The sequence below is a fragment of the Homo sapiens genome, chromosome 5, assembly GCF_000001405.40.
Source record: "Homo sapiens chromosome 5, GRCh38.p14 Primary Assembly".
In the NCBI taxonomy this organism is placed as follows: domain Eukaryota; kingdom Metazoa; phylum Chordata; class Mammalia; order Primates; family Hominidae; genus Homo; species Homo sapiens.
This window is the reverse complement of record NC_000005.10, coordinates 65,614,604-65,635,234: the sequence shown is the minus strand read 5'-3', so window position 1 is coordinate 65,635,234 and position 20,631 is coordinate 65,614,604. Positions and strand designations below refer to the sequence as shown.

General features: G+C 38.4%; 3 protein-coding genes across 11 annotated transcripts in view, besides 2 other annotated features; 1 reads left to right on the top strand and 2 right to left on the bottom strand.

The window, feature by feature from the left end:
- Positions 1 to 10,208, bottom strand: part of TRAPPC13 (trafficking protein particle complex subunit 13) — a 41,207-nt gene extending 30,999 nt beyond the window's left edge. For all 6 annotated transcript variants that reach the window (NM_001093755.2, NM_024941.4, NM_001243737.2 and 3 more), the window contains exon 1: positions 10,129 to 10,208. In NM_001093755.2, the coding sequence (NP_001087224.1) occupies positions 10,129 to 10,174 (46 nt within the window). In that variant the 5' untranslated portion in view covers positions 10,175 to 10,208. The remainder of the gene's footprint in view (positions 1 to 10,128) is intronic.
- SHLD3 (shieldin complex subunit 3) lies at positions 4,307 to 10,208 on the bottom strand. The gene is made up of 2 exons (NM_001365341.2): positions 10,129 to 10,208; positions 4,307 to 5,767 (listed from the first exon to the last, which is right to left on the bottom strand). Exon 2 carries the CDS (start codon positions 5,645 to 5,647, stop codon positions 4,895 to 4,897), a length of 753 nt encoding a protein of 250 aa, NP_001352270.1. The 5' UTR covers positions 5,648 to 5,767; positions 10,129 to 10,208; the 3' UTR covers positions 4,307 to 4,894.
- Positions 10,693 to 10,772: an enhancer, noted in NCBI's record as "active region_22608". NCBI's record gives its function as "activates an Ori minimal core promoter by ATAC-STARR-seq in GM12878 lymphoblastoid cells {active_cell/tissue: GM12878}" and the evidence as "EXISTENCE:reporter gene assay evidence [ECO:0000049][PMID:35858748]".
- The window catches only part of TRIM23 (tripartite motif containing 23), a 34,644-nt gene continuing 24,914 nt past the window's right edge, over positions 10,902 to 20,631 (top strand). For all 4 annotated transcript variants that reach the window (NM_033228.3, NM_033227.3, XM_017009444.3 and 1 more), the window contains exons 1-2: positions 10,902 to 11,041; positions 16,980 to 17,142. In NM_033228.3, the coding sequence (NP_150231.1) occupies positions 10,961 to 11,041; positions 16,980 to 17,142 (244 nt within the window). In that variant the 5' untranslated portion in view covers positions 10,902 to 10,960. The remainder of the gene's footprint in view (positions 11,042 to 16,979; positions 17,143 to 20,631) is intronic.
- Positions 10,903 to 11,232: an enhancer, noted in NCBI's record as "active region_22607". NCBI's record gives its function as "activates an Ori minimal core promoter by ATAC-STARR-seq in GM12878 lymphoblastoid cells {active_cell/tissue: GM12878}" and the evidence as "EXISTENCE:reporter gene assay evidence [ECO:0000049][PMID:35858748]".

Genomic DNA, 20,631 nt, shown 5'->3' with positions numbered 1-20,631 from the left:
AGTGTATGACATTCATCCATTTTATACTAACATAAAATATAACCTAAATACTTCCTAAATATAATACTACATACTTCCTAAGGTTATCACACATCAGTGATTTATTAAGAATTGTAATGTTACAAAATAAGCACCATTTATTTACAACCTATGAATTATAAAAATTAAATGTAAATACAATATGCATTCATTATAGAAAAACTGGAAAATATAATTTTTAAAGCTTAAAGAGTATTAGGAGCATAAGGCTTTAAAAAAATTCTAAGTGATTTCACCATAAACAATATCAACAAAATATTAACTTTGGAAACTCAGTAAGTGTTTTTTGTTTTTTTTTTGAGACAGGCTTACTCTGTCACCCAGGCTGGAGTGTAGTGGTGCGATCTCGGCTCACTGCAACCTCTATCTCCCAGGTTCAAGAGATTCTCCTGCCTCAGCCTCCTGAGTAGTTGGGATTACAGGAATGCACCACCATGCCTGGTTATTTTTTTTTTTTTTGTATTTTTAGTAGAGACGGGGTTTCACCATGTTGGCCAGGCTGGTCCCTAACTCCTGACCTCGAGTGATCTGCCTACCTTGGCCTCCCAAAGTGCTGGGATTACAGGCATGAGCCACCATGCCCGGCCAAGTGTTTCTTCAAGTAATATTAATTCTGTGTAGAAATTACAAAAATGTCAGAAAACATATACGTTTATATAATTCCAATCAAAAGTAAGATATTATTTTTGGAACATGACAGAATGTGTCTAAAGTTTATTTAGAGAAACAAATAAATGAAAATAAGCTAAGGAAATTAACGGAGAAAAAAGAGGAAGAACTGAATTTACTACATATTATAACATATTTAAGTCCATAATCAACTAATTGACTTATTAATATAAGACCATACCGATATATTAGTTTTTCAAAAAAAAGATAGGATATACTTATATAAAGAAATTGCTGGGAGTGGCCAGGCATGGTGGCTCACGCCTGTAATCCCAGCACTTTGGGAGGCCAAGGCGGGCGGATCACGAGGTCAAGAGATTGAGACTATCCTGGCTAACACGGTGAAACCCCGTCTCTACTAAAAATACAAAAAATTAGCTGGGCGTGGTGGCGGGTGCCTGTAGTCCCAGTTACTCGGCAGGCTGAGGCAGGAGAATGGCATGAAGCCGGGAGGCGGAGGTTGCAGTGAGCCGAGATTGCGGCACTGTACTCCAGCCTGGGCGACAGAGCAAGACTCCGTCTCAAAAAAAAAAAAAAAAAAAAAAAAAACGCTGGGAGAGATATTTTAAAAAACAACCTCTTGACAAAAAAAAATCAATTAAAGGATTAGAAGTTAAAAAAATCAATTAGCAAAAGGATTATTCATTATAAGGTGCAAAGACATGGTTAGCTATCTGGGAAAATAAAATTTAACTAAAAAATTCACTTTAAATATAAATAGACAAAAATTAAGCCACAGAAAAGTAAAAAAAAAGAAATTGAATATTTATTATAGTCTAATGAGTAAACACTCTATAATTTTTTTAAAAATCTTTTTCAGTTACTTCTAAAGACTGTCGTTTGACCACATCAAAATAAAAACAAAAACATAAAATTAAAAAATCATAAAAACTTGTAAAATTTTTCAGAAAATGAATCACAGAGGGCTAGTTCATTATTAAAAGTATTCCTTCAAATCTGGCTGGGCACAGTGGCTCATGCCTGTAATCCCAGCACTTTGGGAGGCCGAGGCGGGCGGATCACGAGGTCAGGAGATCGAGACCACGGTGAAACTCCGTCTCTACTAAAAATAAAAAAAATTAGCCTAGCATGGTGGCGGGCGCCTGTAGTCCCAGCTACTCGCAGAGGCTGAGGCAGGAGAATGGCGTGAACCCGGGAGGCGGAGCTTGCAGTGAGCTGAGATCGCCCACTGCACTCCAGCCTGGGCAACAGAGCAAGACCCCGCCTCAAAAAAAAAAAAATTCCTTCAAATCAAAGCCAAAATACTATAAAGACTATAGACCTACATGGTCAATTCAGAATATAAGTAATGTTCTAGCATATGTAAAAATGTACCACCCAACTACTAATTAACCAACTATGGCATTCATATCAAATTTAGTGGCTTTCTCATTCTGGTTTCAGCTTAAATGTCATCTTTTTCAGAAAAAAAGTAACAGGTCATTCTGTTTCACTCATGGTACCTTGTATTTATCATGCAGTATATTTATTTGTTTATAGCACTCCTTTCCAAACTCCATGAGGTCTAGGCTCTTATGTACTACGTTCAGTTTTGTAGCATCCATATTTGGTGTAAGTTCTGCTATTCAGATCTTCCCTGAATAAAATAATTAGCACTTCATGAAAGTCCCTAAATAACTGACATTATTTTGAAAGTGTAAGTTTCAGAAACTGAAGGCAATTAAAAACCTGCTATATTAAGCAGCTGGCTTTTGAAATAGTCAACAAATGCTACCCTTAAAATTTCTGAAGTTACTCTGTATAGCTAGCATTTACTGAGCATTTACTAGCGCCAGGCATTATGCTAAATATTTTACAAGCTGAACACATTTAATTCTCATGAGTACTCTCTAAGTTGGTATTACATTAACCCCAATATACAGATAGGGCATTGACAATACCTGCAGAGGGTAATTTGCATACAAAGGATTATATTAGTAGATAAGTGGTAGAATCTAGATTTGAACCCTGGTGATTTCACTCTGTTGAAAAATAATTCTCTATAATAATTATTAATTATAAGCCTGGAGCCATAAACCTGGAATGTCATGCCTTACCAGAAATACCCCATGGGAATTCAAAGTAGGAATGTATTCCAAAGAGTATTAATCAGCTACAGATGAATATGGGGAGGCGTTTCCAACCTTCACTCTTATTTTTAACTACGAAAACAGAGAAAAAGGTGCCCTGAAAACAGATAAAAAGGTGCCCTGAAAGTGATACACAGGAGGCAGTTTCTCCCAATTTAAACAGCTAAAATCACTAGACAGGGTCTCATTTTGTTACCCAGGTTGGACTACAGTGGCACGATCATGGCTGACTGCAGCCTTGACCTCCTGAGCTCAAGTGAACCTCCTGCCTCAGACCCACCCCCTACCCCCGCCCACCAAGAGGCTGCGACTACTGTCGCATGCCACCATGCCCGGTTAATTTTTGTAGTTTTTGTAGAGACGGAGTTTCACCATGTTGCCCAGGCTGGTAAGTTCACTTTTAGTACCAGTTGGTGTTTTCTATTTCTTCCCTATTATTTTTTTCATTTCATTAGAAAACAAATCTGAATAAAGAGAAAATACAGTCTCAAGGGAATCCTGAAACATTCCTTTTTTTTTTTTCTTAGTGTCCTGGAGTTCACCCAAACATGTAGCTAACATATTTGCTTATTATAGGTTCCAATTTCTATTATAAAGAAAAGTCCTATAAAGCTTAGTTTTTCATGATTCCTGTGGTTTAGCAGGGGATGAGATGGTGGGTAAAAAATGATCCTCCATTAAAAATAAAGTGATCCCAACTTGGTATTAAAAGCAACTTTTTTCTTCATATTTTCAGATTATGGCCTTTGCAGCAACGTAGATGCAACTGGAGGCCATTATCCTAAGCCAATTTATGCAGGAACAGAAAATCAAATACCACATATTCTCATAAGTGAGAGATAAACAATGAGTATACATGGACACAAAAAACAGAACAATAGACACTGAGGCCTATTTGAGGGTAGAAGGTGGCAGGGGGTGAGGACTAAAAAACTACCTATTGGGTATTATCCTGATTACATGGGTGACAAAACTATTTGTACACCAAACCCCTGTGGCACACAATTTACCCATATCACAAATCTGCACATGTACCCCTTGAACCTAAAATAAAAGTTAGAAAGAAAAAAAAATTAGTGGGCTTCCATTTTAAGCAACCTCAGCCATCTCAGGCTATGAAGAATCCCTCTGAAGGGAATGTTTACCATGCATTATCAAGCTCCTACCATGACAGGCACTGAGCTTCAAGGTAAACATGTCTATATTCCTAGTTAAGTGCAGTCTTATTTTTCTTAGGGAGCTGGTGTGTTTAATAGTAGTAATGACATGTAAGCTGTGTGAGGGCAAGGTCCATGTCTGTCTCCTTCCCTAGTATATCCTAGCACCTAGTGCAAAGTAGGCATTTAAATATGTTAAACAAACATACATGCTTCTACAAAACTTTTACTGTTTTAATCCCTTTGAGCATTTTTATGAGGTGATGTGTAAAACCAATTACAAGATTATGCTTATGGGGAACCTACAATGACTCCAATCATCAGCCAAGTAATAATTAGCACTAACTATCATTAATACTGAATTATCTGTATTAGAAGAAATAAACAATCATTCAACATTTGATACTTTCCTTCAAAACAGGATACATTATCGTTTTAGGCAAAGTATACATTTTGTATCGTTGTTTGAAAACAGCCTATCAATTGTTATTACATATCTTTGGAAACATCATTATAAATCTAGACTAGTCTCCCACTTTGAACTACATTCATGCCACATAAATAGCACTCCAAAGAGAATTGTTTCGAGTTTTATTTTTTAAAAAATTACACTTGAGGTAAGGAAAAAAATACAGTAAAATTAGATTTTAGAGATTAACCAAAATCCAAACTATACAACTTAATTCATGACTAATTCAATCACAGTTTGTAACAAAAGGAACAGAACATTTTTACCTTCAAATTCAGTGTAAACAATAATTTATCACATTTAAAAGAAGGCTGCCAATAAGCAGAACTCAGCAATTTCTTGACTTAATTGACAAGCCTAGGAATTCTAAAAAGTCATTAAAAATTTTAAAACCTGTAAAAATTATTTTATCTATTTCAATCCATATTCATTTCATTCAGAATATTCTTTTTGACAATCAGTGGAATTCATTACATACTAAAAATAACACCATATTTATGCACAAATAAATTAATTTTTCCAGTAAGAGCTAATCTTCCTTTAAGAAGACTTCCCACATATTCACAATACATAATATCACAGAACACCCATATTTGGCCTAAATGCCTCTGAATTGTAGCATTACAAGATGGAAGTTCATTGTGCCTAATAATTTGATTGAGTTTTGTCCAAATGTCTTCCAGAGTTTGGCTGTTACAAATAGTGTGTTCTATTGTCCATCTTGCTCTATAAAGTGAGTGTAAATTTAGTGCCTTTAAACTATCTTGCAATTTTTTAGACAAAGGAGAAACGTTTTTAGTACAATTATTGCTGGGAAGGGAAATACTCCAAGATCTCCTCTTGTGCTGTTTTCCCTTTTCTGATTGTTTACCCAGATTTCCAGAATTAGTCTGTTCCTTCAGTGTGTGTGACCAGGTTAAATGCTGCTTTTTCAAGCTAGGTTGAAACTCCAATAGATCTACTGTGCAATCATAACTGTGTGACTTAGCATCATGTTCTGAAATGGTTAAGTACTGTTTCACATCTTCAGCTGCCTCTTCAGAAATCACAGGTGGTGATCTTTTAGGTCTGAGTGGAAGCTTGGACCCATCATATGGAAACCAAGGTATAAATCTTGATAGCGGACGAGTAGGAAAGTCTTGAATTGCTTTTTCTGCAATTTTTGGCAGTTGTGTGGGATCACTCTCACATGGTCGATAATGTAATATTACTTCTGTAGTCATTCTGCAGTAATCCAGTTACTCTTAGTGATGAGAAAATTTCTTAGTTGAACTCCTCAGAGCTAGAATGTTAATTTATTATTGCAAGATTGTCTCTCTTGCCAAATCAGAGGGAAACAGGACCTAAAGTAGAAGTATTGCAAAGAATAAGATATGGTAGGGATACCCTGCCTACCAACAGGCAGGGAGAAAAGGAAAAACAAAAAACAAAAACCAATCCCAATGTGGTATTTTACCAAAGTGCTATTGGTAAATGTGAATGTAATCTACAAACCTGAAAATTCTTTCTCTTACCAAAATAAGGGATCTGAACTAGATGCCCTATAAAATCACTTCCTGCCTAAAAACGCTAGTAGTCAACATGTTTAACTCAATAGATATAAAGGACTTGGAAGTATCGATATTAATATATTAAGTAATAATAGTCTTAAAACTTTAGCAGAAACAAAGAGTAAATGAATGATTCTTAAAATATTGTTTTCATATGAATTAACAAAAAATGTAATATTTAAAAATTTGAGGCAACTAAATTGAGGACAATGAAATCACTGTAAATTCTAATCCAACATGGTGAAAACCCATCTCTACTCAAAATACAAAAAAAAATTAGCTGGGTGTGGTGGCGCATGCCTGTAGTCCCAGCTACTAGGGAAGCTGAGGCAGGAGAATAGCTTGAACCTGGGAGCCAGAGGTTGCAGTGAGCCAAGATCATGCCACTCAGCCTGGGCGATAGAGCAAGACTTCATCTCATTAAAAAAAAAAAAAATTCTAATCTGTCTGGAAGAAAATTAATCATTTTATACTTAAAATTATGTAGATTTGCCAGGTGCGGTGGCTCATGCCTGTAATCCCAGAACTTTATGGGGGCCAAGGCGGGCAGATCACGAGGTCAGGAGCTTGAGACCAGCCTGGCCAACATGGTGAAACTCCGGCTCTACTAAAGATACAAAAAATAGCCGGCTGTGGTGGCGTGTGCCTGTAATCCCAGCTACTCAGGAGGCTGAGGGAGGAGAATCGCTTGAACCCGGGAGGTTGAGGTTTGCAGTGAACTGAGATCGCGCCATCGTACTCCCATTGCACTCCAGCCTGGGTGACAGGGCAAGACTCCGTCTCAAAAAAAAAAAAAAAATTATATGGATTCCACCAAACAAATATATAGATAGAATATTTGATGATTTCACGTCATTCTCTGTAGTAAAAACTAAAACCATTAATATGGTTTAACTTTGCTAATATGGTTTAACCAGGCTAAGAACCAGTTTTGTGACACTGTCTTCTCCTCATAATCCAGGCAATTAAACAGTATGGAGACCCCAATACCATGGCTTTTGAATTCCAGTTTGGAAGAGAACAAGAAGTCTAGACTCCTATTTTTTTCTCTTAGAGCACAGAAGTCCTCAAGTTGCCCCAAATTAAGTCACTGATAATAAATTCCAGCATATGGTGCATAGGCTCAAGAATGGAGCCTTCCAATATCTGCAAGTTAGGCTTGCTAATCAGGCCCAAAGCTGTAAGAGCCATAAAACAGACTTTTTCACATCCTAACAACAGCAGAAAAAAATAAGTTGAATCCCTTCTCCCCAAAAATCATTAGAGAATTACTTGATGAGGGTTCTCCCACTGCTAGGATAACCATGAGTATGGATTCTTGTCATCATTTCACAATAGAATCACTGTCTGATTCTGAAGAGTTAGAAGAAATAATTTCATTATTTTTACCTACTGATACTGCCCACTAACAGATCTGACAACTCTCAAATTCATAAATAATTGTGATCTTTAACATCCATATTTTAAATATGGATCTAAATGTTATCATATATACTTTCAAGAACTAATGATGCACTAATGTTTTTCTTCCCTGTTCCTTATACTTTCACATTGTAAAATATGGCACTGAGAAATTCTCTTGTTGTCTAAAGTCAATCAGTGTTATACTCAAGGGATGACTTTTTTTTTTTTTTTGAGACAGAGTCTTTGTTGCCCAGGTTAGAGTGCAGTGGCACAATCTCGGCTTACAGCAACCTTCGCCTCCCAGGGTCAAGTGATTCTTGTGCCTCAGCCTCCTGAGTAGCTGGGACCACTGGTGCACACCATCACGCCTGGCTAATTTTTGTATTTTCAGTAGAGACGGGGTTTCATAATGTTGGCTAGGCTGGTCTCGAACTCCTGATCTCAAGTGATCAGCCACCTCACCCAACCAAGAATAACAAGATATTATCTTTAACATTTTACATATTAAAAGATAAAGTGAACTTAAATGACCACTTAAATTAATACATTTGGCATTCAGCATCAGCACATTGAAATGTGTGAAAATTGTTGATTAACTAGAACAATGGGTTAACTATAAGATGGTACTAAAGAGGTTTAATAAAGTTGAAACTATCAGTCAATTTTGAAGCACTTGTCCGTTTAGGCTGCTTATTGTTCTTTTTTTTTTTTTTTTTTTTTTTTTTGAGACAGGGTCTCACTCTGTCACCCAGGCTGGAGTGCAGTGGCGCAATCTCAGCTCACTGCAGCCTCTGCCTCCCAGGTTCAAGCGGTTCTCCTGCCTCAGTCTCCCGAGTAGCTGGGATTACACCACCACACCTGGCTAATTTTTGTATTTTTGGTATAGACGGGTTTTCGCCATGTTGGCCAGGCTGGTGTCAACTCCTGATCTCAAGTGATCTGCCAGCCTCGGCCTCCCAAAGTGCTATTACAGGCGTGAGCCACCACGCCTGGCTTAGGCTGCTTAAATATTCTTTCTTAGGTATCCTTGGTTTTGGAAAAAAAAGAATAACAGAAAACTAAAAATTCCCAGTGGCAGTCTCTGTATCACTGGAATTTAACTTTTTGTTTGTTTGTTTTTTGAGATGGAGTCTCGCTCTGTTGCCTAGGATGGCGTGCAGTGGCGTGATCTCGGATCACTGCAAGCTCCGCCTCCCGGGTTCACGCCATTCTCCTGCCTCAGCCTCCTGAGTAACTGGGACTACAGGCGCCCGCCACCACGCCTGGCTAACTTTTTGTATTTTTATAGAGACGGGGTTTCACTATGTTAGCCAGGATGGTCTTGATCTCTTGACCTTGTGATCACCCGCCTTGGCCTCCCAAACTGCTGGGATTACAGGGGTGAGCCACCACGCGCGGCTGCAATTTAACTGTTTTTAATAGCTTCTAATTTGTATAAATCACACGTAGCAGTTAATAGAACTGTTCCAAATTCCCATCGGAGTAGCTGGTAGAGGAATTATCTCTGAGAATGCTGCTTCATTCTTTAGGAGGCAACACGGACTCTTGGAAAGAGAGGCAGGCCTTGCGTTGAAACACTGCCTCAATCACTAGCTATGTGATCTTGGAAAAGTTACTTAAACTCTGAGAATTAATATTTACTCCACATACTTGAAGTGAGATTGTGAGATAAAGAACACGACAATTAGTTGCTTTTCTTCTTTTCCCTCTTCTCCACGAGTAACAATCCATTTTAATCTCCATTTTAGTCTAGATCATTTGCTCAGGTTAAGCTTACAGGTCCCATCACTGTATCACTAAACATTACAAAGTTCCACAGTAAGAGACAATCTCGCTAACACAGGCATCATTATATGAGACTGATGAGCTTCTAGAAAGTCTGATGACTACATCATAATGGGAAGGATAAGGCGTTCCTCAAAATGGATGCCATAAGTAAAGTAAGCGCAATTCAATTGAACCCGAATGTTTATTGAGCATTTCCTCAGCTCATTCAAGAAGTCATTGTTAACCATATATTAAGGCATCCAAGAAACAAAAAGCGCATTTGTTGTAGTAAAAAACAAATAAAATAAAGCTGAAAAGATTTCAAATAAAAGGTTTCCAGAAAATAGGCATTAAAAAAATTGTCCTAAAAAAAAAAGTGCTGCTGTTTTTTCCTAAATAATGATCTAATTAAATCACCAAACTTACTCAAAATGGCTGTGTACAAAAAATGAGAGTTGACATTAGATCTCGGACATATTTCCCACATACACAGTGATTTGAAGTAAACTGCAGTTTGTTTTGAATAAATCTAAGTTATATGTTGTATTACTATGTATTGCTAAATTCTCTGCACTACTGTCATGCAATACTAATTTTACAGGGGAAGCTGAAGCCTGATTAACTTCGTCAGTGCCACAGGAAGAAACAAGAGACAGAAGGAAAAAGCACTTTGGATGCCCGCTGTAATTCACAGAGATCTCCACGGTAGGAGCGGGACGTCAGCTTCTGCGGCTAAAATCTCGTGACTGAAGCAGCACAGATCAGAAAGAACGATTTACCAGGTATCTATTTCGTTCTAGAAAGGGGCCCATAAACCTAAAAAGCATCCAGGAGAAATCGCTTCCTCCCGCTTGGCGGCAAAGGACAGAGCAGGAGGGCGAGCACTGAGTGTTTAAGAAGGATGAGGCCTACATGGCAAAGGCTTCGATAAGTAGGGAATGCAAGGAAACAGAAAAGGGGGAATCAGGTTCGCAAAAGTTTACCTTTTAGCGCCAGCAGGTGCTCCTGTTTAGGGGGATTCACTTCCATTTTGACCGGCACTTTTGACCCACAGCCTACGGGGGCTGGACAGGTTCAACTTGCCCCGGAAGGAAACGGAAAACCTCGCGTTTGGCAAAACCAAAAGTCAAACGCACTCTCAACCTCTCTCTGGTGGTGGTACCTTAAATTCTCCTACTGTGTCCTTTACAAACTGGCTTCTTTTCAACAAGTCCATTTCTTCTATCTTAGAAACGTAGGCATAAAATACTTTGTTTTCCATCTGCAATCACACATCGCGACTGCAGGAAAAGAAACCACCCCTAGGTAACAATACGCGGCCTCCCAAAGGCCAACGTTGCCGGAGTTTTTTTTTTAAAAAAAAAAAAAAAAAAAAAAAAGAGAGAGAGAGAGAGTGGCATGCTGGGATTTGTAGTTTATACAAAAACCGCGTTGCATGCAGGGAGATGCCCGTACCCCCTCACCGCCCTCAGTTCACGCCCTGGCTGGTTTGGATTCGAGAGGAAAAATCATTAAAGGATCTGGAGTTTTCACCCCAAAACTTTAATCGTTTTGTCCCTTCTTTTTTTTTCTTGTCTTTCCTCCAGCAGCTGCAGACTACATAATGAAAAATAACAAAAGTGCCCATGCGCGAGGCTGTGCAACTAACCACCCGACGATTGCGGGGAGGAGGAGTAAGAGTCGGCTAAGCGGCGCCCAGTGTCCTACTGCGCCTGTGCGCCGGTGGCGTGCGCAGAGGCCTCTGGGTAGGTGGCTCAACCCCGCCTCTCAGTTGAGGACTCTGAAGGCTGTTTCTGTGGCGCTTCCCCTGCGAGGATGGCTACCCTGGTTGTAAACAAGCTCGGAGCGGGAGTAGACAGTGGCCGGCAGGGCAGCCGGGGGACAGCTGTAGTGAAGGTGAGGGACCTTGCGTGCTCTATTCTCCACCATCGGCCTCCCTTCGGTTCATCCTGGAGACCTGGCGGCATCGCCGCGGCCCAGGCTTCGATAGGTGGGATGCGCGGCCTCTGGGCCCCTTTTGGCATTACAAGTCTCGTCCTGTCCTCTGCATCCTTTCTCTCCTATGGCCTGAAATTGCCTGGTCTTCTGCTCATGACATGTCATCATCGGGACATTTGTGAAAAGGAGCTTGCGGGCCAGTGGCAGTGACCTAGACCGGTCTTTTCTCCAGGTCCTCTGCTTTTAGTTAAACTCAACAGACATTAATTAGCTTAGTATTATAAATTGAGTCATCATCATCGTAACTACGTACTAAGTTAGGTGTTTTAGCTCGTTAATATCTACTTATGAAGTAGATGTGAATTCCCATTTTACAGGGAGGAAACCCAGGTTTAGGTAAACAGTGTGTGGCAGAGCCCCGGGTTGACCGGCTTTAAAGTCTGTACTTTTCGCTCTTGTACTGCGTCTGTAATCAGACATCTGTTATTGGGTGAGCTGCCCCCTCCCCTGTTAGTAGTACAGTCTATTAACTCTTTGCACAAGTCTGCAGCATCGTCATAGCTGGGCATTAACGATAGAGTTTATGAATTTTCTTATGCTTGAAGTTTGAGATTCTACCATGTATACATGCTCCAGAATCAATTTGCTAAAAAATCATTTGAAATATGTGGCACTCATTTTTCCCTTCCACTGTTGTGCACGGAAAGATATGGAGGGGAGAACTGATCCCATTGGTTTATAGAGTAACCTTCAGGAGCATCTCTAATCTAAGAGATTGATAATTCTCATTCCTGGCTACATATTAGGATCACTGAGGAGTTTTAGTACACTACTGATGCACTCCTCCTCCAGTTCTGATGAGGTTGACATCAGTATATTTTAGGAATTACCAGAAGTTATTTTAATGTGCAACCAGGGTTATGAATTACTGATCAAGGTAATATATGAAGTTTTTTTCACATCTTGAAAAGTAGACACCTATGATTATTCAGGTAATGTTGGTTTTATATGACAGCAAATGAGACATTTCTTCCCACAATTTAGTATCAGTGAATATTGGTGGTTGTTGATTCAGATGACCTTTAGGTACTAATGAAGTTATTCTACAGGTACACGGCATATCTGATATGCAAAGGAGCCCTCATTATTAGGCATGTTGTGTGACTGAGATTTTATTTATTGAATTGTGCTTTTGCTAAGTAGAGAATACTTGAAGAGCAGTTTGTGAATTAACTTGAAGTTTAAGTTTTATTTCATAATTGGAATGGGTATCATTGCAGTATCTATTTTTTTGTTACCCTGTTTGCCTTACAGTCTCAAAAGTGTACCAAAGCCTGATGTAACTCCAGTTTCTTACAGCACAGAATTTGATACATTGGAGGCTCACCTTGTTCATTTTCATCTTAACATGTAAAATATTCCTGAACTGTGCAATGAAATAGTCCTTTCTGACAAAATCTTCATGCCATAATTTGTAGTAGGTATAGTAGCATAAACTAAAAAAATCTCACTGTCATTTCTATAGATGAAAGCAAGAAGTATTTATTGGAAGGTAAAAGTTGAAGTATATAATGCTAATACTGTGTAAAATGGCCTTTTGCTTGTGAACAAGTTGATAATGACATGGCTTTTATCATTAGAGAAAACAGTAACATAAAAATCTGATATTGTGGCTAGGCGCGGTGGCACACGCCTGTAAAGCACAAAGTGCCTGGGAAGCACTTTGGGAGGCCAAAGTGGGCGGATCACTTGAGGTCAGGAGTTTGAGACTAGCCTGGCCAACATGGCGAAACCCCGTCTCTACTAATAATACAAAACGTAGCCAGGCATTGTGGTGTGGGCCTGTTAATCCCAGTTACTCAGGAGGCTGAGGTAGGAGAATCACTTGAACCCAGGAGGCGGAGGTTGCAGTGAGCTGAGTTTGTGCCACTGCATTCCAGCCTGGGTGACAGAGTGAGACTCCATCTGAAAAATAAAAGATAAAAAATCTGATATTGTGAAATAACTGACATTTAAAAATGTATCACAGAAAGTTTCACACCTTTAATCTCAGCACTTTGGGAGGCTGAGGTGGGAGGATTGCTTGAGCCCCAGAGTTTGAGACCAGCCTGGGCAACATGGTGAGATCCTATCTCTACAAATAATAATAAAAAAAAATTAGCCAGGCGTAGTGGCACATGCCTGTGGTACCAGCTACTTGGGAGTCTGAGGCAGGAGGATTGTCTGAGCTTGGGAGGTCAAGGCTGCAGTGAACCATGCTCAGGCCACTACTCTCCAGCCTGGCTGACAGAGTGAGACCCTTTCTCAAAAAAAAAATAATAATAATAATAAATAACAACATAAAATAAAATATCTGATTGATTACAGTTTGATTTACAAGTAATAAGTTTGAAGCTTTTTTGGCATTTTTTGAAGTGTAAAATTAAGAGCTTTTTCCTATCTAGGGTTTTTTGCTGTTAACCACAATTCCTATTTATAGATACTGAGGAAATATTTTCTTGCTGTATTATTTACCGAGTTGATGCAAAATAGTCTAGTAACTTTATTTTTGGACCTGTGTTTGGTTTGCTAATCAATGGAATTTTATTAGTGCTTTTTGAAAAATACATTAACAGCATAAGGAAGTTCTTTTAAATCTTTGTATAGTGATGGGATCAGAGATACAGGATTGAAATGAACTAAACAATTTTAATATGGTTCTTTGGAGTTTATTGTCATAAATTTACTTTATTAGAGTATCATAATACAGCATTTATAAAATGTTGCATTTATTTTATATCAAATTCTATTGTGAATTTTTGAGACAGAGCCTCACTCTGTCGCCCAGGCTGGAGGGCAGTGGCACAATCTTGGCTCACTGCAAGCTCCGCCTCTTAGGTTCATACCATTCTCCTGCCTCAGCCTCCCGAGTAGCTGGGACTACAGGTGCCCGCCACCGCGCCTGGCTAATTTTTTGTATTTTTGGTAGAGATGGGATTTCACCACGTTAGCCAGGATGGTCTCAATCTCCTGACCTCGTGATCTGCCCGCCTTGGCCTCCCAAAGTGCTGAGATTACAGGCGTGAGCCACCGCACCCAGCCTATGAATATTTTTTCTATATTTAATTGAATTTTTTTTTTTTGAGGCAGGTTCTCACTCTGTCACCCAGGTGGGAGTGCAATGGCACGATCATGGCTCATAGCAACCTCGACCTCCTGGGCTCAAATGATCCTCCCACCTCAGTTTTTGATTTTTTTTTGTAGAGACAGGGTCTCGCTGTGTTGCCCAGGCTGGTCTTGAACTCCTGGCCTCAAGCAGTCCTCTTGCCTTGGTGTCCCAAAGTGCTGTGATTACAGGTGTGAGCCACAGTGCCTGGCCTAAAGAATTTGATAACGTGAAACTTTCCCCTTTTTAAAAAATGTAGGATAAATTGAAGTATGTGTATATATGAATAATAGACAGAATTATACGTGGATAGCTGTTCCCCAGTTGTTTGCCTTTTTCATGGGGAACCAGTGTTCCAATGTTACTGGTGTCCTATGTATCCTTCCAGGAAGACAATACGCTTATACAACAATACAAAAAAAATTTGCTCTTTCCCCACCTTTATGCAAAAATGAATATATTCTATTATTTTTCTTTTTGTTTTAATCATATGAAATCATTCTGTGTATATATGAAAAACTTCATCTTTCTCACTATCCTATATAGTTTTATAGTATTATGAATGTGCCACAATTTATTTTCCAAGCTGATATTGATGTATATTTACTTTCTTTCCAATTTTTTGCTAATGCAAATGATGCTTTAAGGAGTAACATACAGATTTTGTCACACGTGTCTAGTATGCTTGTAGGATAAATTCCTGCAACTAGAATTACTGAGTTATTTAAATTTGGTAAGTATTGTCAAGTTGCCCTCCATAGAAGCTGTATTGCTCAATAAACATTTCATAGCAATTAGTAATGTATGAGAGTGTCTGCTTTCCCACACCTTCACTAACAAAATGTTACCAACATTTTTGATCTAATCTGAAAAAAGTATTTTGATGTAGCTTTAATTTGCATTTTTCTTTCTTTATTTTTTTGAGACCGAGTGTCATTCTGTCACCTAGGCTGGAGTGCGGTGGCGTGATCTTGGCTCACTGCAACCTCCGCCTCCCAGGCTCAAGCAATTATCCTGCCTCAGCCTCCTGAGTAAACTGGGCTTACAGGCGCCCACCACTATGCCTGGCTAATTTTTTTGTATTTTTAGTAGAGATGGGATTTCACCATGTTGTCCAGGCTGGTCTCGAACTCCTGACCTCAGATGATCCACTCGCCTCGGCCTCCCAAAGTGTTGGGATTACAGGCATGAACCACCATGCCTAGCTTTAATTTGCATTTTTCTTATTATGAGTTAGATTGAACATCTTTTCACGTAAAGAATTTTCATCTTCTTTTCTCTGAACAATGTTATGTTTCTTATTTTTATTCATTTTTATCTTCCCAAACCCTTATTTACATTGAAGGACTAAATTTAAATTTCTTTTGAACCATGATAAGATGCAAAGCAATTATGAATTATCACTGTATGGTGAAAGATATTTGCATCTCAAGCACTAAGTCCAAGTTAATTGTAGAGTTAGGTTTAAAATCATAGTAGATTTAGTCTGATTTCTGCCTTGGGTTTTCTGTTTTTTACCTCGTGTTGTGTGTTTGATGATGGTGAGCTTAATTGTTTTTAAATTATTTTACTGGACTTTATGTAAGCAGTAGGTACTTGGTATTTAAAATACCCAGTTCCTGAGGGTTCTTTGGTCCAACAGGGAAAGACGGGCTAAAAGACCAAGGTATTAAAGTGTTTTGGGTGTTACGGTAGACGCTTATACAGAGTACATCGGGGCCCAAAGGACAAGTATAGTCCTTTCCTCAGTGTTAGCATGAAGAGACATGAAACAGTTTCTCATGTTCTGAGAACTATAAGCTGTTGGATATAGTTGGAGCATAGGGTCAGAAGAGTATGGCAGTGAAGCAATAGGACAGGGACCAGATTGTAGCAGGTCTTGAATGACAGGAGTTTGAGGTATGATTGAATAGTACAGTGTGGGTATTTTTAAAAAATTAATGCAAGGTATGAAACACTACAAATATACTTAGAAATAAGTGCTGAAAATGCTTTATTGCTATAAATACAATTTGTTGACTATTTGTAAAACATAAACTTATGGACTTGAGAATCAGAATATGCTGATAAATGGCCTTTCTTTTGACTGACTGTGTAGCCTTGTGCAAGTCATGTGTCTGTAACTAGAGCTAGAAAGACAAACTAGTTTCTAATTCAGAGCTATATTTATTGATAGAGAACAGGAATTGAAATTTAAGATGATTGCTTTTTTTGCCTTTGTATTATTTAATGTACATTAGATAGTAGAAGATACTTGAAAGTTACTTGCAGTCTTTTCTTAACAAGTTCTTTATCATTTGCAGGGGTAATTGTTATCTCAGTACATATTTTAGATTATTTTTGTTGAAATTAATGATAGTTTATTTGTGTTGAAATTAATGATGGGTTAGGTAGTTGCAGAGAAATTGCTTAAGAACCCACCTTCAGTAGAATTACATATTGTTTGTACAGATTCAGATGTAATGACTGAAATCATAATTTTCAAAAGATAACAAAGATGTTAATTTACAGCATCTTTGCCCCAACACTTAGTATTTCAAAGATATTTCATTATGATATAATTTTGACAGGGTCGGTCAAATGGAATGACTTAAAAGTGATTCAAGATTTTACAACCTACATAGTTTTTTTTTCATAGAGGAATAAAGTAACAATGTTGATTCAATATATTAGGTGAATTTTCTTATATACCTAAAATATGTATGCTTTTAAAATTGTTTAAAGAGCACATCCTTCCTTTTCAAATATTAGGTGCTAGAGTGTGGAGTTTGTGAAGATGTCTTTTCTTTGCAAGGAGACAAAGTTCCCCGTCTTTTGCTTTGTGGCCATACCGTCTGTCATGACTGTCTCACTCGCCTACCTCTTCATGGAAGAGCAATCCGTTGCCCATTTGATCGACAAGTAACAGACCTAGGTAGGAAAAGTATTTGTATGGATTTAAGATTGAAAATTGTTCATGTAATGCAAATGTCATAGGAAACAATGTCCTTCCACTTGATTTTTAGAATGATAAAATTCCCAGAAAGTTTCAGAAAGCCTAAGTTTCTATTAAGGTCAATAATCTTCAAGCTATAAACTATCTCACTCTTAGTTACTAATTTTATTTTATCTTCTGAGATGTTTATATTCAATACTTATCTGTAAAGAGCTTTAAGACACCTGAGAAAAACGTGCTACCCTGATTCAAATAAATAAGAATGTGTATCACAGAGTGAATCATTTGCCTGAAGCCATAAACCCAATAGAACAATGTTTTCTTTACAAATAAATAAGCCAATAATGAAAATACAGATAAGTCATTTGAGTCTCACCATGTTTTTATTTACTAATATCAAGGACAGAAGTGTTTGTAGCTTGTGATAATTACTCTTTATTTTCTGTTAAAATGAGTTTGAAGGGTTTGTGGCTTTTTTTTGCAGTTTTCTGTATACTTTTAAAACTTTTCTTTACGTATTTCAAACTAAGTTATTTTCAGATACCAGATTTGGAAATAATAGCATTTACTAACATTTGAACAGTTATTTTACAAACGTAAGTTCTGTAAGTTTACTCTTTTTGATAAGGGAGTTTTCTCCAAAAGAGTTTAAGGTTGCCATTTTTTTTCCAGGTCAGTTGCACTATCTAAGACAGTTTTAATATATTCATACTATTTTTCAAGTGGAACACATTCAAAATAATTTATCCACCAAAAAAGGAAGCAAGAGTACCTATAATTTTAGGCTGGAAGACTTTGAAATGCTAAGAAACATGGTTTTAAAATATTTTCTGGAGAAAGAAAAGGATTTTTAAGGTTTTGGTGATCTTTGATGTATATAAATAGTCTATTTGCCTGACAACTAATAGACAGTAATAACATTATAGATAGCATTAACTTACCAGTAGCCAAGAAATAATAGGGATTGGGAAAGTCTCTGTACTTTTATTTGGTCTTTTATTATGTGAAATATGCATATATCATACTATTTCTTTATATAAAACTATACTTAGGCCAGGTGAGGTGGCTCATACCTGTAATCCAGAACTTTGCAAGGCTAAGATGGGTGGATCACCTGAAGTCAGGAGTTCAAGGCCAGCCTGGCCAAAATGGTGAGACCCCTTTTCTTCTAAAAATGTAAAAATTAGCTAGGCATGGTGGTGGATGCCTGTAATCCCAGCTACTTGGGAGGCTGAGGCAGGAGAATCGCTTGAGCCTGGGAGATGGAGGTTGCAGTGAGCCTAGATCACGCCATTGCCCTCCAGCCTGGGCAACAAGAGCAAAACTTGGTCTCAGACAAACAAACAAAAAAACTATGCTTAAAGAAATAGTAATGTTTTTCAAATAGAGAATAGAACCTTTCTTCTACTTTTTTTTTTTTTTTTTTTTTTAAAGCAGAGTGTTACTCCGTCACCCAGGCTGGAGTGCTGTGGCGCGATCTCAGCTCACTGCAGCCTTCACCTCTGGGGTTCAAGCGATTCTCCTGCCTCAGCCTCCTGAGTAGCTGGGATTACAGGCACCTGCCACCACGCCTGACTAATTTGTGTATTTTTAGTAGAGATGGGGTTTCACCATGTTGGCCTGGCTGGTCTCGAACTCCTGACCTCAAGTGATCCACCTCAGCCTCCCAAAGTGCTGGGATTACAGGCATGAGCCACCACACCTGGCTCTTCTACCTTTTTGAAGAGCACTTTACCTTCTCTACATTAATACCACAATGTGAAGAGTTACTATCCTCAATGTTTAACAAAACTAGAAATTTATGACAGGGAACTAGACTGAATACATCCATCCTCCTCTCTGACTTCTCTGAATCCTGAATCAGAATTTCTCTCTAGTCCAAGAAGAATATGAGTAGTTATTAATACCATTCAGCAATATTCCTGATTTTCTTCTGCTCATATGGTGAAATTACACTTCCTTGCCCTCTTACGCATCACTGTGTGATGTTCATTGATCAGTGAAATGTAAGCAGAAGTGAAGTGTTAGCATCCAGGTAGAAGTTAATAAGAGAAGGTTTATGATTTTCAAAGTAAATTCTTCTCCTTGCTGCAGTGAGGTGGTCCAGATGGTTGGAGGCTCGGTAGGCTGTGTCCCTGTTTGTGGTCAGTGGGGAACAGAGTCTCTCTTGTCTTCCCTAATCCCTGAGATGTTGCATGATGCAAAAAATAAATCTTTGTTGTGTTAAGCCATTGAGATTATAGAGTTGTTTTGACACAGAATTAAGTGATATAAATATTAGGCACTACCTAGTAATAATGCTAGAGGTTTATTTGTATATATTCATTATATAGTGACTGGATATTTAGAAAATTGTCAAGACTATATTTTTAAATGATCACTTAGTGTACTTCTTAACCTTTATGTAAATAGATAGAACTCAGCTTGTTGTAGAATATGTGTTAAAAATTAAGGAGAAAGCCTTCTAGGGGCAAGGCTGAGGATAGATATGTTCAGTCCAGTTTTTTTGGGAGAACCACAACACAGAATGGCTTTTTTTTTTTTAAGAGCCAGGAGGAAGGGGGGCCCTGCAGGCAATGACTCCATCAACCTTTTATATATTTATTCATTTAATGAATATGTATTAGGTGGCAGCTATATCAGATGTTATTTGTTGCATAGGAGTTTACCATAACAAATATTCCTTCTGCTAAAGGATCTGACTTTTATTCATAGGTTCAGGAAGAGTGTGTATGTTGTCCTGGGTTACAATGTTATATGTATTTCTTAAGGTAGGTTGCTGCAAAAAGTATTTGAAAATGCTTGTTTTAGCATGTATAGTAAAAGTCAATGACAAAATAGGACTTGTAAAATTAAATGATAGAGAAATAGGCTGGGCACGGTGGCTCACACCTGTAATCCCAGCACTTTGGGAGGCTGAGGCAGTCAGATCACTTTAGGCCAGGAGTTTTGAGACCGGCCTGACCAGCATGGCGAAACCCCATCTCTACCAAAATATACAAAAAAATCAGCTGGGCATAGTGGCACACACCTGTAGTCCCAGCCACTTGGGAGGCTGGGGCACGAGGATCACTTGAACCCGGAAGGTGGAGATTGCAATGAGCAGAGATCACGCTACTGCACACCAGCCTGGGCAACATAGCAAGACTCTGTCTCAAAAAAAAAGTAAAAGAGATTTAAATAATTTTTTTAAACTGTGGCAAAATATATGTATAACATAAAATTTGCCGTTTTAACCATTTCTAAGTTTAGGGACATTAAGTACATTCATATTGTTGTGCAGCCTTTACCACCATAATTTTTTTTATGTGTATTTAGATTTTTTTTTTTTTTTTTTGAGATAGAGTCTTGCTCTGTCATCCAGATTGGAGTGCAGTGGTGTGATCTTGGCTCACTGCAACCTCCACCTCCCGGGTTCAAGCAATTCTCGTCCCTCAGCCTCCTGAGTGGCTGGGATTATGGGCGCCT